Genomic DNA, 18,787 nt, shown 5'->3' on the forward strand with positions numbered 1-18,787 from the left:
AGGTTTGTTACATAGGTAAATGTGTGCCATGGCGGTTTGCTGCACAGATCAATCCATCACCTAGGTATTAAGCCCAGCATCCATTAGCTATTCTTCCTGATGCCCTCACTCCCCTCAACCTGCTGACAGGCCTCAGTGTGTTTTGTTCTTCCCAATGTGTCCATGTGTTCTCACTGTTTAGCTCCCACTTATAAGTGAGAACATGCGGTGTTTGGTTTTCTGTTCCTGCATTTGTTTGCTGAGGATAACAGTTTCTAGCTCCATCCATGTCCCTGCAAAGGACGTGATCTCATTATTTTTCATGGCTTCATAGTATTCCATGGTGTATATGTGCCACATTTTCTTTATCCAGTCTATCATTGATGGGCATTTGGGTTGATTCCATGTCTCTGCTATTGTGAACAGTGCTGCAGTGAACATACACATGCATGTATCTTCATAATAGAATGATTTATATTGCTTTGGGTATATACCCAGTAATGGGATTGCCGGGTCAAATGTTATTTCTGCTTCTAGGTCTTTGAGGAATCATCACACTGTCTTCCACATGGTTGAACTAATGTACATTCCCACCAACAGTGTAAAAGTATTCCCTTTTCTCTGCAACCTCACTAGCATCTGTTGTTTCTTGACTTTTTAATAATTGCATTCTGACTGGCATGAGATGGTATCTCATTGTGGTTTTGATTTGCATTTCTTTAATGATCAGTTGAGCTTTTTTTCATATGTCTGTCTTGCCTGAATGTCTTCTTTTGAGAAGTGTCTGCTCATGTCCTTTGCAAGGGTCTTACATCTAGTAATTGACCAGGGTGGAACTTAAACCAGGTCTACTGACACCAGGAATTCCAAAGCAGTCAACACAACATTGAAAATTGAGGAGAGGAGGCCCGGCGTGGTGGCTTACGCCTGTAATCCCAGCACTTTGGAAGGCCGAGGCGGGCAGATCACAAGGTCAGGAGATCAAGACTATCCTGGCTAACACAGTGAAACCCCGTCTCTACTAAAAATACAAAAATTAGCTGGGCGTGGTGGTGGGCGCCTGTAGTCCCAGCTACTCGGGAGGCTGAGGCAGGAGAATGGCATGAACCCGGGACGCAGAGCTTGCAGTGAGCCAAGATCGCGCCACTGCACTCCATCCAGCCTGGGTAACAGAGCGAGACTCCATCTCAAAAAAAAAAAAAAAAAAAAAAAGAAAAAAGAAAATTGAGGAGAGGAATCTCATTCCTTATTTCTTATTCCTGGAAATAATTTTGTCAATTGCTTTGGAACAGACTTACATATGGCATTTTAGATAGCTGTTATTAAAAGATGTCTAGTATATTTGCCTTGAATGTTTTTCAGAGAACTAGCAAATGTATTCAGTTTTATAAATTAGGAAGAACAACACATTTAATAAGCTATAGGAACCACCTGTAGTCTCAGTAAAAATCATATAGTGTTTTAGAAATGCTTTTTTCCCCCACTTCTGATTAAAAGGCTACTTTATACTTTCAAATAGGTTTCTGATAGAAGAGAATACCTTTGAAGTAGTATCCCAGAATTACACTCCCAGTGATGGTGTGGTGAGCCAGAGGTAGCTTTTTATCCTCAAGAAGCTCAAAGCTCTGTTTTCATAATGCAATGTTAAGTTTTTCTGTTGTTAAGGTAGCAAGTTCTTGTGGTTTTGCTGCTGCTGCAATACATTTAATTCAAAATTATTCCCATTTTTCTCAGTTCTTACATGAAAAAGGTAAACATTGTTTGTGAGATATTTAATCTATTTTGACCCTTTGATATGATTCACTTTTGTCTTTAAATTCAGACATTAATAGCAATGAAATCACTTAATGAAGAATCCTTTCATAAACTGATGAGATGAGTACATTTAATCTTAGAAGAAAACGTACTGACAGTTATCGATACAGTTTTTTTCCCCTCAATTCTGTGATGTGCATTCCACATGTGTTTCTGAGGGTATATCTATTAATGTGAATGTTGTGTTTTTACCTCCCAAAGCAGTTATTAAATTAATGGTATATTTTATGAATTATATTTTAGAATCAAGAAACCATTGTAGATTGTTCTCTGGGACACCTAATGGGTACAGTTGATCTACAGGAAGCATAGGAAACACTGGATTTTCAGTTCTTGAGATGAGGTAATGTCTTAGGCATTAAAAAAAATTATTCTCAGTGGAGCTCAGCACAGTGCCTTGGAGATAGAGTGTTCTGTAAATATGTGTTAAATGATGAATTTACAAACACAAGAAATCAAGATACCAATTAAGTATAGTTTTTTGAGTGGACTATAGCTACATCTCAACATTGCTAAAATGGCCAAATGGAAAAATCTGATGCTACCCCTGCTAAGGTAGAGTCATAAAGGAATTGTAACTGTAGGAAGTGTAGTGCTGTTCCTAACTTTAGGTGAGAGAGGAGGCGTTTTGTAGAATGAACTAAATTATTGGTGTAGAGAGCTGTCAACAAAAAATTGGGGGCAGTAAAAGAAAATATTGTTAATTTCTCTATTTTGCTTTGGGCTGATTCCATAGAGCTCTGTGAAGAGAACGGATAATTAATGTCTGCCATTCTGACAAGAAATCCAAGTAAATTCTGAGTCAGGTATTTCTTTAAAATTTGACAACTTTTAGAGCATAATTATACAATCTTGATTTACTCAGTAAACTTTTAAGTATTTGTTATAGCTATTAGCAACTGTATCAGTGTTCCACAAGGGAGGGACCATGGTTTGGTAGAAAGGACTCAGGGCTGGTTTCTAGCTGCTTTTTAGGTGTGGGTCTCTGGACACACAATGAACTGTGTTAAAAATAATTTGGTTTATTTGTGGCTCATTTTTCTCATCTTTAACACTTGACAGTCTCTAAAGTATGTTTCAGATTCAATGTTCCATGACCCTGTGACATTATAACCCACAAAAAGCAGTAATTTCTGAGACATAATACAAGAATCTAGGTTTCCGACAATTTGGTATGATAATGAGTGCCTTCAAACTACTGGCCATATTTAAGATACATTTTACTAATTCAGAAACATTTGCTCTTTGTTGAGGAGAAGCTATTTCTATTAAGAGAATATAAAATCCCTTATAGAAAATCTTAAAAGTAGAAGCTACAAGCCTGAGGTAAATTAATACATAAGCAATTTTTACTCATTCATTTTTATTAATTGAGATCAAAGTTTAAATGAGGCACCTAGAATTGAATAAGAATAGAATAAGGATACGATTATTATTTGACTGAGTGACAAATACCCAAGTATCATTATTAACTTCATTTGAAAGTAAACATGTATACATATCATGGCCAAACATAGAAAACACACAAAGAATCTCTATCAAATCACCTCTGTAAATCTGCATATAAATATGCTTATGCATAGAAACGCTATATAAAGGGACAAAAATAAATTTATTAATCACCCTTTTTATTTTCTACTTTGATTAAATGCTAAATAAAGCTCCTTACAACTCTTAGTAAATATAATTTAAAATAATTCACTGGCCAATTATTTGAGGACTATTGGGACTGCTACTAGAAAAAGGTCTGTGGTTTAAAGCTAAGTCTTTAAAATCATAATATTTTTCTGTATTAAAAAAACAATGAAAGTAAGCAATTGCTCTTCAATTATCACATAATAAGATGTTTCTGACCCATTGTGCTGGGTCTTCAGAAGTCAATATTATTCACTGAGCCCGGACTGTTGCATCTTAGAAAAGTGAGAATGAAGACCCCTGAAACTGTGGCCATGACACAGCTTCTTATTGACGTTTTATAGGAGCATCCAGCTGCATATGTAGGTCTCTAGACCTCAGCTATGGAAATAAAATGTTTCAGATGCTACCTGTCTCAGTGTGTAGTTCTCATGTGGTTTACAGAACCATTCATCCAGATATGCATTTAGATACTATCCAGTTCTGAAATGGTGCCTAAAAATTCTAGAGTAAAATAAATAGGGTTAAAAATCACGTCTGGGTTGATTCAAATACAAGTTTATCCAAACACAATTGAAATATAAAAATGGAGATCAGATATAAAAATGGTTAACTCTTTTTCTAGAAGGGGCTGGTTGAAAATTGGTTTCAGATGTTTACGGAGAAAACAAATTTAATGTATTTAGATGAAGAAGGTGGGTTTACAGACTTTATCCACAAGCAAAAATAACAATATTTGTCTTAGTGTAGAACACAGGCATTAAATGCATTGTTTCCTTTCCTAACTATATATAAGTCTAAAGAGGAAAGATAGATATAATGAATACCTATGAAAATTTAAGGGCTAATTACTTTTTGTACCTTAGAACAAACATGTATACTGTAACCAAAAGGGAATGTTTCTTGTTTTTTTTTTTGTTTGTTTTGTTTTTTTTTTTGAGATGACGTCTCACTCTATTGCCCAAGCTGGAGTGCAGTGGCGTGATCTCGGCTCACTGTAACCTCCACCTCCTGGGTTCAAGCAATTCTCCTGCCTCAGCCTCCTGAGTAGCTGGGACTACAGGCACACACCACCATGCTCGGCTAATCTTTTTTTATTTTTAGTAGACAGGGTCTCACTATGTTGGCCAGACTGGTCTTGAACTTCTGACTTTGTGATCCACCTGCCTCCACCTCCCAAAGTGCTGGGATTACAGGCATGAGCCACTGCACCCGGCCAGGAATGTTTCCTAATTATGCTTAAAGTCCAGAAGTAAAGTATTATTATTAAAGTGCAGATGCCAGTTTCTACAGTTAGCAGGTGTGAGAACAAAGATAATCCAAAATGATGCTTAAAACATCAACTCATTTCTATCAGACTTTAGTTCTCCTCTTGTAGGGCTACAGGAGAAAGCAAAAGAAACTCCAAGTTACTGGGTTCTCCAGTATGATAAGTAAAGGTTGTCAAGGTCGTGCAGTAGAAAAGAAACAGGCAGAGCTGAATGTTAGCTCAGCTCTTAGATAGCTGTTGCAGCATTAGGCCTATCATTTCTCCTTTCTGAGCCTTAGCAAACAAAGGTAATAATACTTATTTCACAGGTTTGTTACATGTAATCTTACACATTGCATGTGTGCAATAAATGGTAACTTATTCTAAAAGGTGGGGCTTAGTTGTTGAGGGTATTAGTATTGGACCATATAAAACTGACATTTTTTATAGATAAAAAATAGCCAAATTTTAGACTTCACTCTAAGGTGATACCCTCCTAGGAACCTTGAGGAAACTGTTACAGTGAGGCCACAGTGTGGAGGGCAAGGTCAGGTTCCTTGGTGAGTTTTGAGTCAATGGTCATGGATGGCCATTTTCATTAGTGACTAGTTTATAATATGCTGAAATAATATACACCATCATGAAGCCTGGGTATCTCAGACTATCCCATTCCCTACCCACAATATAGATCAACATTTTACATCTTGCTAAAGTTAGCATATTAAGCTCATTGTATTTGCATGGTTACACTTCTCTTCCATGCTGCTAAGAGTCACAAGTACACAAGAAGAATGGGCATAAACATATCGGTACACCTGCCCTTTCTGATAATACCAGTAAGATAGACAATCATGTCTAGACTCATGGTGATCCATGTACTTTCCTAAAAGTGTGATTTCAGAGTGTTTCCCATATTGTTGATTTCCTTCTCAGTCGCTCTTCTTTGGATTTGAGGCAGACGTTTCTGGAAATTTCCACTCAGCAGGATGTAGAGAAAAGGGTTAATGCTGCTGCTGGCATAGCTGAGACAGATGGAGAGGTAATAACCCACATAGAAGGCCAGTGTGGGCTGTTCCATCTGTAAGTTCACCAGTTGTATCACATGATAAGGGGCAGCACTCAGGATAAAGACTACCACCAGCACCAGCACCATCTTTGTCAACTTCATCACTCTCTGTTTTGGTACACTGGGATTGCAGCTGCAGAGGAAACATTCAGATAGACAGGGTATAAACAACCATAGAAATTATGGGGCAATGTGTTCCTAGAACCTTTTGGACAGTTCATAATGGCTTTGTAGTGAAATATGAAGCTCATTATTATATTCCTACTTACTTGGTGCATTGTGATATATTCTTTTTTATTCTTGTTGAAAACTTTCCAAAGTTTCCAAAGCTGGAACTTTTTTTCGTTGTTGTTAATTTTTTAAATTTTTTGTGGGTACATAGTAGGTGTATATATTTATGGGGTAAATGAGATGTTTTGATACAGGCATGCAATGTGTAATAATCACATCATGAAGAATTGGGTATCCATCCCTTGAAGCATTTATACTTTGTATTACGAACAATCCAATTATACTCTTTTAGTTATTTTTAAAAGTACAATTATTATTGACTATAGTCACCTTGTTGTGCTATCAAATGCTAGGCCTTATTCATTCTTTTGAACTATTTTTTAATACCCATTAACCATCCTCACCTCACCCTCAGGCCCCTACTACCCTTTCCAGCCTCTGGTAACCATCTTTCTACTCTCTATGTCCATGAGTAAAATTGTTTTGATTTTTAGATCCCACAAATGTGTGAGAACATGTGATGTTTGTCTTTCTGTGCCTGGTTTATTTCACTTAACATAATGACTTTCAGTTCCATCCATGTTCTTGCAATTGACAGTATCTCATTCTGTTTTATGGCTGAATAGTACTCCATTGTGTACACATATCACATTATTTTTATCTATTGATCTGTTGATGGACACTTAGGTTGATTCTAAATCTTGGCAATTTATATAGCCAAGCTTTTCAACTTGTTGCGATCCCATTTGTCCATTTTTTTTTTTTTTTTTTGAGACGGAGTCTCGCTCTGTCGCCCAGACTGGAGTGCAGTGGCACAATCTCGGCTCACTGCCAGCTCCGCCTCCTGGGTTCATGCCATTCTCCTGCCTCAGCCTCCCGAGTAGCTGGGACTACAGGCGCCTGCCACCACACCCAGCTAATTTTTTGTATTTTTAGTAAGAGACAGGGTTTCACCGTGTTAGCCAGGATGGTCTTGATCTCCTAACCTCGCGATCCGCCCGCCTCGGCCATCCAAAGTGCTGGGATTATAGGCATGAGCCACCGCGCCCGGACCCATTTGTCCATTTTTTGCTTTGGTTGCCCGTGCCTGTGGAGTAAGAAATTTTGCCCAGACCAATGTCCTGGAGATTTTCTCCAATATTTTCTGGTAGAAGTTTCATAGTTTGAAGTCTTAGATTTAAGTCTTTAATCCACTTTGATTTGATTTTTGTATATAATGAGAAATGGGGCTCTAGTTTCATTCTTCTGCATATGGACATCCAATTTTACCAGCATCATTTATTGAAGAGGCTGTCTTTTCCCCAGCGTATATGTTCTTGGCACCTTTGTTAAAAATGAATTCATTGTAGGTGTGTGAATTTGTTTCTGGGTTTTCTATTCTGTTTCATTGGTCTATGTCTCTGTTATTATGCCAGTACCAGGCTGTTTTGGTTACCATAGATCTGTAGTATTATTTGAAGTAAGGTAATATGATTCCTCTAGTTTTATTCTTTTTGCTCAGGATATATTTGGCTATTCTGGGTCTGTTGTGGTTCCATATAAATTTTAAGATTTTTTTTTCTATTTCTGTGAAGAATATCATTGGTATTTTGATAGACATTGCTTTGAATCCGTAGATTGCTTTGGGTAGTATGAACATTTTAACAATACTGATTTTTCCAAACAATGAATGTGGAATATCTTTCCATTTTTTGGTGTCCTCTTCAATTTCTTTCATCAGTGTTTTATAGTTTTCATTATAGAGATCTTTCACTTCTTTGTTAAGTTTTTAGGTATTTAATTTTATTTGTGGCTATTATCAATGGGCTTACTTTTTTATTTCTTTTTCAGATTGTTGACTGTTGGCATATGGAAATGCTACTGATTTTTGTATGTTGATTTTGTATCCTGAAACTTTACCGAATTTGTTTATCAGTTCTAATAGTTTTTTTTGTGTGTGGAGTCTTTAGAGTTTTCCAAATATAAAATCATGTCATCTGTAAACAAGGATAATTTGGCTTATTCCTTTCCAATTCGGATGTCCTTTATTTCTTTCTTTTGTCTGATTGCTCTAGCTAGGACCTCAGTACTATGTTAAATAACAGTGGTGAAAGTGGGCATCCTTGTCATGTTCCAAATCTTAGAGGGAAGTCTTTTAGTTTTTTCCCCATTCAGTATGATGCTAGCTGGGTGTCTGTCATATATGGCTTTTATTATGTTGAGGTATGTTCCTCCTATAACTAGTTTTTTTAAGGTTTTTATCATAAAGAGATGTTGAATTTTATCAGATGCTTTTTCAGCATTTGATATTTCTATTTATTATATTGAATTTAAATGATCATATGTTGATCATTTAAATGATCATTCTGTTGATATGATGTATTACATTGATTAATTTACATACGTTGAATCATCCTGGCACCCCTGGGATAAATCCCACTTGGTCATGATGAATGAGATTTCTAATATATTATTGAATTTGGTTTGCTAATATTTTGTTGTGAATTTTTGCATGAATATTCATCAGAGAGATCTGCCTGTAGTTTTTTGTTGTGTCTTTGTCTGATTTTAGTATCACAGTAATACTGGTGTTGTAGAATGAGTTTGGAATTATTCCCTGCTCTTCCACATTTCAGAATAATTTGATTAGAATTTGTATTAGCTTTTTAAATGTTTAGCAGGATTCAATGAAGCCATTGGGTCCTGGGTTTTTGTTTCTTGGGAGACTTTTAATTATGGCTTTGATCTTGTTACTTGTTAGTGGTCTGTTCAGATTTTGGATTTCTTCCTGGTTCAATCTTGGTAGGTTATATATGTATAGGAATTTGTCCATTTCTTCTAGGTTTTCCAATTTAATGGCATACAGTTGCTCATGGTAGCCACTAATGATCCTTTGAATTTCTGCAGTATCAGTTGTAAGGTCTACATTTCCATTTCCAAATTTATTTATTTAGATCTTCTGTCTTTTTCTCAGTTAGTCTGGCTAAAAGTTTGTCAATTTTGTTTAACTTTAAAAAAAATCAGATTTTTGTTTCACTGATCTCTTCTATTGTTTTCTTCATTTTAATTTCATTCATTTCTGCTGTGATCTTTATTGTTTCTTTCTTCTAATTTTGGGTTTGGTTTGCTCTTGCTTTTCTAGTTCTTTAAGGTACATTATTAGACTGTTTATTTGACATTTTTCATCTTTTTGATGTAGGCACTTACAGCTATAAACTTCCCATTTAGTACTGCTTTTGATGTATCCCATAGGTTTTGGTATGTTGTGTTTCCATTATCATTTGTTTCAAGAAATTTTTCAACTTCCTTAATTTCTTCTTTGACCCACTGGTCATTCAGGAGCATATTTTGTAATTTCCATGTGTTTGTATAGTTTCCAAAATTCCTCTTGTTATTGATTTACAGTTTTATTCTATTGTGGTCAGAGAAGATGTTTGGTATTATTTCAATTATTTGAATTTTTAAAGACTTGTTTTGTGACCTAACATATGTTCTATCCTTGAGAATGATCCATGTGCTGAGGAAAATAATGTATATTCTGATGTCATTGGATGAGATGTCCTGTAAATATATATTAGATCCATTTGGTCTACAGTGCACATTAAGTCCAATGTTTCTTTGTCAATTTTCTGGCTGGAAGATTTGTTCAATGCTGAAAGTAAGTTATTGAAGTTTCCAGCTACTATTATATTGGGGCCTATCTCTCTCTTTAATTCTAATAATATTTGCTTTATATATCTGGATACTCCAGTGTTGGGTGAATATATATTTTAAATTGTTATATCCTCTTGCTAAATTGACCCCTTTTTATCATTATATGGTGATCTTCTTTGTCTCTTGTTATAGTTTTCTAACTGAAATCTATTTTGTCTGATATGACTACTCCTGCTTTTTTTGGTTTCCATTGGTATGGTGTATGTTTTTCCATTCCTTTTTTTTCAGTCTATGTGTGTCTTTATAGTTGAAGTGTGTTTCTTGAAGGCAATAGATCAACAGGTCTTGTTTTTTCATTCAGTCAGCCAGTCTTTGTCTTTTGATTGAAGAGTTTAGTCCATTTATATTCAATGTTATTATTGATAAGCAAGGACTTACTCCTGCCATTTTAAAATTTGTTTTCTGGTTGTTTTGCGTTCTCTTCCTTCTTTCTTTCCTTCCTGTCTTCCTTTAGTGAAGGTGATTTTCTCTGGTAATAGGATTTAGTTTATTGCTTTTTATTTTTTGTTTATCCATTGTATGTTTTCTGATTTGAGGTTGCCATAAGTCTTACAAATACTATCTTATAAGGCATTATTTTAACCTGATAACAACTTAACACTGTTTACATAAACAAACAAGCAAAAAGAAAACCAGTAAAAACTCTACACCTTAACTTTGTACCCCCAATTTTTAACTTTTTGTTGTTTCAGTGTATATCTTATTGTATTATCTATGTCTTGAAAAGTTGTTGTAGTTATTATTTTTGTTTTTTTTGTTATTTTATTTTATTTTTTATTTTTATTTTTTATTTTATTATTATTATACTTTAAGTTTTAGGGTACATGTGCACAATGTGCAGGTTAGTTACATATGTATACATGTGCCATGCTGGTGTGCTGCACCCATTAACTCGTCATTTAGCATTAGGTATATCTCCTAATGCTATCCCTTCCCCCTGCCCCCACCCCACAACAGTCCCCAGAGTGTGATGTTCCCCTTCCTGTGTCCATGTGTTCTCATTGTTCAATTCCCACCTATGAGTGAGAACATGTGGTGTTTGGTTTTTTGTCCTTGCGATAGTTTACTGAGAATGATGATTTCCAATTTCATCCATGTCCCTATAAAGGACATGAACTCATCATTTTTTATGGCTGCATAGTATTCCATGGTGTATATGTGCCACATTGTCTTAATCCAGTCTATCATTGTTGGACATTTGGGTTGGTTCCAAGTCTTTGCTACTGTGAATAGTGCCACAATAAACATACGTATGCATGTGTCTTTATAGCAGCATGATTTATAGTCCTTTGGGTATATACCCAGTAATGGGATGGCTGGGTCAAATAGTATTTCTAGTTGTAGATCCCTGAGGAATCGCCACACTGACTTCCACAATGGTTGAACTAGTTTACAGTCCCACCAACAGTGTAAAAGTGTTCCTATTTCTCCACATCCTCTCCAGCACCTGTTGTTTCCTGACTTTTTAATGATGGCCATTCTAACTGGTGTGAGATGGTATCTCATTGTGGTTTTGATTTGCATTTGTCTGAGGCCCAGTGATGGTGAGCATTTTTTCATGTGTTTTTTTGGCTGCATAAATGTCTTCTTTTGAGAAGTGTCTGTTCATGTCCTTCGCCCACTTTTTGATGGGGTTGTTTGTTTTTTTCTTGTAAATCTGTTTGAGTTCATTGTAGATTCTGGATATCAGCCCTTTGTCAGATGAGTAGGTTGTGAAAATTTTCTCCCATTTTGTAGGTTGCCTGTTCACTCTGATGGTAGTTTCTTTTGCTGTGCCGAAGCTCTTCAGTTTAATTAGACTCCATTTGTCAATTTTGGCTTTTGTTGCCATTGCTTTTGGTGTTTTAGACATGAAGTCCTTGCCTATGCCTATGTCCTGAATGGTAATGCCTAGGTTTTCTTCTAGGGTTTTTATGGTTTTAGGTCTAACGTTAAGTCTTTAATCCATGTTGAATTAATTTTTGTATAAGGTGTAAGGAAGGGATCCAGTTTCAGCTTTCTACATATGGCTAGCCAGTTTTCCCGGCACCATTTATTAAATAGGGAATCCTTTCCCCATTGCTTGTTTTTCTCAGGTTTGTCAAAGATCAGATAGTTGTAGATATGCAGTGTTATTTCTGAGGGCTCTGTTCTGTTCCATTGATCTATATCTCTGTTTTGGTACCAGTACCATGCTGTTTTGGTTACTGCAGCCTTGTAGTATTGTTTGAAGTCAGGTAGCATGATGCCTCCAGCTTTGTTCTTTTGGCTTAGGATTCACTTGGCGATGTGGGCTCTTTTTTGGTTCCATATGAACTTTAAAATAGTTTTTTCCAATTCTGTGAAGAAGGTCATTGGTAGCTTGATGGGGATGGCATTGAATCTATAAATTACCTTGGGCAGTTTGGCCATTTTCATGATGTTGATTCTTCCTACCCATGAGCATGGAATGTTCTTCCATTTCTTTGTATCCTCTTTTATTTCATTGGGCAGTGGTTTGTAGCTCTCCTTGAAGAGGTCCTTCGCGTCCCTTGTAAGTTGGATTCCTAGGTATTTTATTCTCTTTGAAGCAATTGTGAATGGGAGTTCACTCATGATTTGGCTCTCTGTTTGTCTGTTATTGGTGTATAAGAATGCTTGTGATTTTTGTACGTTGATTTTGTATCCTGAGATTTTGCTGAAGTTGCTTATCAGCTTAAGGAGATTTTGGACTGAGACAATGGGGTTTTCTAGATATACAATCATGTCATCTGCAAACAGGGACAATTTGACTTCCTCTTTTCCTAATTGAATACACTTTATTTCCTTCTCCTGCATAATTGCCCTGGCCAGAACTTCCAACACTATGTTGAATAGGAGTGGTGAGAGAGGGCATCCCTGTCTTGTGCCAGTTTTCAAAGGGAATGCTTCCAGTTTTTGCCCATTCAGTATGATATTGGCTGTGGGTTTGTCATAGATAGCTCTTATGATTTTGAGATACATCCTATCAATACCTAATTTATTGAGAGTTTTTAGCATGAAGTGTTGTTGAATTTTGTCAAAGGCCTTTTCTGCATCTATTGAGATAATCGTGTGGTTTTTGTCTTTGGTTCTGTTTATATTGCGGATTACCTTTATGGATTTGCATATATTGAACCAGCCTTGCATCCCAGGGATGAAGCCCACTTGATCATGGTGGATAAGCTTTTTGATGCGCTGCTGAATTCAGTTTGCTGGTATTTTATTGAGGATTTTTGCATCAATGTTCATCAAGGATATTGGTCTACAATTCTCTTTTTTGGTTGTGTTTCTGCCCGGCTTTGGTATCAGGATGACGCTGGCCTCATAAAATGAGTTAGGGAGGATTCCCTCTTTTTCTATTGATTGGAATAGTTTCAGAAGGAATGGTACCAGTTCCTCCTTGTACCTCTGGTAGAATTCGGCTGTGAATCCATCTGGTCCTGGACTCTTTTTGGTTGGTAAGCTATTGATTATTGCCACAATTTCAGATCCTGTTATTGGTCTATTCAGAGATTCAACTTCTTCCTGGTTTAGTCTTGGGAGGGTGTATGTGTTGAGGAATTTATCCATTTCTTCTAGATTTTTTAGTTTATTTGCGTAGAGGTGTTGGTAGTGTTCTCTGATGGTAGTTTGTATTTCTGTGGGATCAGTGGTGATATCCCCTTTATCACTTTTTATTGCCTCTATTTGATTCTTCTCTCTTTTCTTCTTTATTAGTCTTGCTAGCGGTCTATCAATTTTGTTGATCATTTCAAAAAACCAGCTCCTGGATTAATTAATTCTTTGAAGGGTTTTTTGTGTCTCTATTTCCTTCAGTTCTGCTCTGATTTTAGTTATTTCTTGCCTTCTGCTAGCTTTTGAATGTGTTTGCTCTTGGTTTTCTACTTCTTTTAATTGTGATGTTAGGGTGTCAATTTTGGATCTTTCCTGCTTTCTCTTGTGGGCATTTAGTGCTATAAATTTCCCTCTACACTCTGCTTTGAATGTGTCCCAGAGATTCTGGTATGTTGTGTCTTTGTTCTCGTTGGTTTCAAAGAACATCTTTATTTCTGCCTTCATTTCGTTATATACCCAGTAGTCATTCAGGAGCAGGTTGTTCAGTTTCCATGTAGTTGAGCAGTTTTGAGTGAGTTTCTTAATCCTGAGTTCTAGTTTGATTGCACTGTGGTCTGAGAGACAGTTTGCTATAATGTCTGATCTTTTACATTTGCTGAGGAGAGCTTTACTTCCAAGTATGTGGTCAATTTTGGAATAGGTGTGGTGTGGTGCTGAAAAAAATGTATATTCTGTTGATTTGGGGTGGAGAGTTCTGTAGATGTCTATTAGGTCTGCTTGGTGCAGAGCTGAGTTCAATTCCTGGGTATCCTTGTTAACTTTCTGTCTCATTGATCTGTCTAATGTTGACAGTAGGGTGTTAAAGTCTCCCGTTATTATTGTGTGGGAGTCTAAGTCTCTTTTTAGGTCACTCAGGACTTGCTTTATGAATCTGGGTGCTGCTGTATTGGGTGCATATATATTTAGGATAGTTAGCTCTTCTTGTTGAATTGATCCCTTTACCATTATGTAATGGCCTTCTTTGTCTCTTCTGATCTTTGTTGGTTTAAAGTCTGTTTTATCAGAGACTAGGATTGCAACCCCTGCCTTTTTTTGTTTTCCATTTGCTTGGTAGATCTTTCTCCATCCTTTTATTTTGAGCCTATGTGTGTCTCTGCACGTGAGATGGGTGTTCTGAATACAGCACACTGATGCATCTTGACTCTTTATCCAATTTGCCAGTCTGTGTCTTTTAATTGGAGCATTTAGTCCATTTACATTTAAAGTTAATATTGTTATGTGTGAATTTGATCCTGTCATTATGATGTTAGCTGGTTATTTTGCTCGTTAGTTGATGCAGTTTCTTCCTAGCCTCGACGGTCTTTACAATTTTGCATGATTTTGCAGTGGCTGGTACCGGTTGTTCCTTTCCATGTTTAGTGCTTCCTTCAGGAGCTCTTTTAGGGCAGGCCTGGTGGTGACAAAATCTCTCAGCATTTGCTTGTCTGTAAAGTATTTTATTTCTCCTTCACTTACGAAGCTTAGTTTGGCTGGATATGAAATTCTGGGTTGAAAATTCTTTTCTTTAAGAATGTTGAATATTGGCCCTCACTTTCTCCTGGCTTGTAGGGTTTCTGCCGAGAGATCCGCTGTTAGTCTGATGGGCTTCCCTTTGTGGGTAACCCGACCTTTCTCTCTGGCTGCCCTTAACATTTTTTCCTTCATTTCAACTTTGGTGAATCTGACTATTATGTGTCTTGGAGTTGCTCTTCTCAAGGAGTATCTTTGTGGCGTTCTCTGTATTTCCTGAATCTGAATGTTGGCCTCCCTCGCTAGATTGGGGAAGTTCTCCTGGATAATATCCTGCAGAGTGTTTTCCAACTTGGTTCCATTCTCCCTGTCACTTTCAGGTACACCAATCAGACGTAGATTTGGTCTTTTCACATAGTCCCATATTTCTTGGAGGCTTTGTTCGTTTCTTTTTATTCTTTTTTCTCTAAACTTCCCTTTTGCTTCATTTCATTCATTTCATCTTCTGTCACTGATACCCTTTCTTCCAATCGATCGCCATCAGCTCCTGAGGCTTCTGCATTCTTCACGTAGTTTTTGAGCCTTGGCTCTCAGCTCCATCAGCTCCTTTAAGCACTTCTCTGTATTGGTTATTCTAGTTATGCATTCGTCTAAATTTTTTTTCAAAGTTTTTAACTTCTTTCCCTTTGGTTTGAATTTCCTCTTGTAGCTCAGAGCAGTTTGATCATCTGAAGACTTCTTCTCTCAACTCGTCAAAGTCATTCTCCATCCAGCTTTGTTCCATTGCTGGTGAGGAGCTGTGTTCCTTTGGTGGAGGAGAGGCGCTCTGCTTTTTAGAGTTTCCAGTTTTTCTGCTCTGTTTTTTCCCCATCTTTGTGGTTTTATCTACTTTTGGTCTTTGATGATGGTGATGTACAGATGGGTTTTTGGTGTGGATGTCCTGTTTGTTAGTTTTCCTTCTAACAGACAGGACCCTCAGCTGCAGGTCTGTTGGAGTTTGCTAGAGGTCCACTCCAGACCCTGTTTGCATGGGTACCAGCAGCGGTGGCTGCAGAACACCGGATTTTCGTGAACCGCGAATGCTGCTGTCTGATTGTTCCCCTGGAAGTTTTGTCTCAGAGGAGTACCTGGCCATGTGAGGTGTCAGTCTGCCCCTACTGGGGGGTGCCTCCCAGTTAGGCTGCTCGGGGGTCAGGGGTCAGGGACCCATTTGAGGAGCCAGTCTGCCCATTCTCAGATCTCCAGCTGTGTGCTGGGAGAACCACTGCTGTCTTCAAAGCTGTCAGACAGGGACATTTAAGTCTGCAGAGGTTACTGCTGTCTTTTTGTTTGTCTGTGCCCTGCCCCCAGAGGTGGAGCCTACAGTGGCAGGCAGGCCTCCTTGAGCTGTGGTGGGCTCCACCCAGTTCGAGCTTCCAGGCTGCTTTGTTTACCTAAGAAAGCCTGGGCAATGGCGGGCAACCCTCCCCCACCCTCGCTGCCGCCTTGCAGTTTGGTCTGACTGCTGTGCTAGCAATTAGCGAGACTCTGTGGGCGTAGGACCCCCTGAGCCATGTGCAGGATATAATCTCCTGGTGTGCCGTCTCCTAAGCCCGTCGGAAAAGCGCAGTATTAGGGTGGGAGTGACCCGATTTTCCAGGTGCCGTCTGTCACCCCTTTCTTTGACTAGGAAAGGGAACTCCCTGACCCCTTGCGCTTCCCAAGTGAGGCAATGCCTTGCCCTGCTTTGGTTCGCTCACGGTGCACTGCATCCACTGTCCTGCACCCACTGTCTGGCACTCCCTAGTGAGATGGACCCGGTACCTCAGATGGAAATGCAGAAATCACCCGTCTTCTGCGTCGCTCACGCTGGGAGCTGTAGACCGGAGCTGTTCCTATTCGGCCATCTTGGCTCCTCCCTCCATGTCCTTTTATTTCTGATTGAAGTTCTCCCTTTAGAATTTCTTGTAAGACAGGTCTAGTGTTGATGAAATTCCTCAGCTTTAGTTCATCTGGGAAAGTCTTTATTTCTCCTTCATGTTTGAAGGGTATTTTTGCTGGATATACTATTCTAGGGTATAAGTTTTTTTCCTTTAGTGTTTAAATATGTTATGCCACTCTCTCCTGGCATGTAAAGTTCAAAGCTGGAACATTTTGAGAGACCAAATAAATAACAAAGCATTAAATTATGACTCAATGTGTGAAAGAAACATATCAGTCTATAGTAATATAAATAATATTGAATAAAATGAGGAGAGAAGAGCCAGACCTTTTTTACAGAAGCATTCTAAATAATATAGGGATTGTTACATAGATACTCCCCTTTCAGCAGATGGAGCTTAATTCCCATCTTCCTGCTTCCCCTTTGAAGGTAGGCTATGTTAGTGACTCATTTCCAAAGAACAGAATAGTGAAAGGGATAAATAGTAGTTTCATGGTGGAGAAACCTAGCAAATACCACCTTAACCAGGTAATCAAGGCTAGTATCAACAGTGATGTAACGTGGCTATCATGTGACCCCTGATATACTGTGATGAGAAGAGTTGATTTTTTTAAATAAAAACATGTAAGTACAGTCTAATCATGATACAATATCAGGCGAACTCGTATTGGGAATGTTCTACAGGATACCTGGCCAGTGCTCAAGACTATGAAGGTCATGAAAAATAAGGAAAGAGTGAGAAACTCACAGATCAGAGGACACTGGGAAGACATGATAACTAAATCCAATGTGCTATTCTGGATTGAATCTGGAACAGATTTAGGACTTTAATGGAAAAACTAGTGAAGTCCAGTAAAGAATGGAATTTAGTTAACAGTAATGTACTGCAATTTTCTTTGTTTTGACAAATATCCTAGGTAATGTAAGATGTTAACAATGGGAAAACTGAGTGAGGGGTATTTGGGAACCCTCTGTACTGTCTCTGTACTATCTGTACTATATCTCTACTATCTACTTTTTTAGAAATGCAAATTATTTTAAAATAAAACATATTTTAAAATTCCCATATTTAATCATGTTATGTCATATTTAGGCGTTTAATGGAAATTTCCCTGGGACATGGGGGTAACAGATGAATAAAAGTTGGGAATAATTTTAAAAGCATGGAAGCTAAAAATCATTTGATTCCCCTGCAATTTATCAGAGTAGGCACTATCATTCCTCTAATTTTTTGCATTTTTATGTGTATGAGATGTGTTTCATAAGATCCTCTTAGCATTTCTGAGAAATGAGTCAGGAGCAAAATGATCTGATTTGGAGAACTGTTTAAAAAAGGCTCAAGCATTCTCTCTAGCTGTTGGTATCTTTAATATTCCATATGATTTCATTTTAACCTTCTCACCAACTCAGCTCCCTGGGATACATTTATAAACTAATTTTTTTTCTGTAACTGTGGCTACTTCCTTTTTCTTCCCAAATGGACCACACTTTACTAGTGCAAGACTTTCAAAGAATTCCAAGAAACTAAGTGGGAAAAAAATGCTGTGAGCCAACAGACTACTTACAAACCTTTGGTTCAAGGGTTTGCCACAAATTTTGAGGAATGGTGGTTAAGTTGCTCACATTTTTTTAAACAAAAAGTTTGTAAAATTTGTAAATTTGTAGTGTGCAGGGAAACCCAGCAAACTTGCCTTTTCATAAGAAACACAAAAATATATTTAAAATATAATGTTTAATAAATGTAAGTGTGTTTTTAACCAACAGGTTATATAATTACTGACTTATTCATTTGAACAAGTAGATTGTGGAATACACAATCTCAAGGTGAAAATAATTTAGATTTATTTATGCAGCTTTAGAGACAAGTATCTTCAAAGGTCCTTCTCAAGTTTATTGACTTTAGGTTAACTCTTTGGTTTCATTTGCTCCTGATTAATCTTTTAATATTAATAAAACCCTTCCTTTAAAATTCAAATATTAATGAGACTTTTCTCCTTTAAATTAAAAAAATTGAAACACAAAAATTAAAAGGTTGCACATAACATCTAAGATATTTACATATGCATGCAACTCTGCAAAATGTGCAATGAAAACAGTTAAATAACTTAATAACAAATATAAAATTATTCTTTAAATAGAATCTTGAGTTCCGTAT

The 18,787-nt window shown here is 37.3% G+C and overlaps 1 protein-coding gene across 3 annotated transcripts in view, besides 1 other annotated feature; it reads right to left on the reverse strand.

Annotated features, from left to right (window-relative positions):
* Positions 1 to 3,140: 3,140 nt before the first annotated feature.
* MCHR2 (melanin concentrating hormone receptor 2) overlaps positions 3,141 to 18,787 on the reverse strand; it is a 75,705-nt gene continuing 60,058 nt past the window's right edge. For all 3 annotated transcript variants that reach the window (NM_032503.3, NM_001040179.2, XM_024446571.2), the window contains exon 6: positions 3,141 to 5,877. In NM_032503.3, the coding sequence (NP_115892.2) occupies positions 5,562 to 5,877 (316 nt within the window). In that variant the 3' untranslated portion in view covers positions 3,141 to 5,561. The remainder of the gene's footprint in view (positions 5,878 to 18,787) is intronic.
* Positions 16,267 to 16,766: an enhancer, noted in NCBI's record as "H3K4me1 hESC enhancer chr6:100379521-100380020 (GRCh37/hg19 assembly coordinates)". NCBI's record gives its function as "activates a minimal SCP1, AML or CMV promoter by ChIP-STARR-seq in naive H9 embryonic stem cells {active_cell/tissue: H9 hESC(naive)}" and the evidence as "EXISTENCE:reporter gene assay evidence [ECO:0000049][PMID:30033119]".

Source organism: Homo sapiens, chromosome 6 (genome assembly GCF_000001405.40).
Source record: "Homo sapiens chromosome 6, GRCh38.p14 Primary Assembly".
In the NCBI taxonomy this organism is placed as follows: Eukaryota; Metazoa; Chordata; class Mammalia; order Primates; family Hominidae; genus Homo; species Homo sapiens.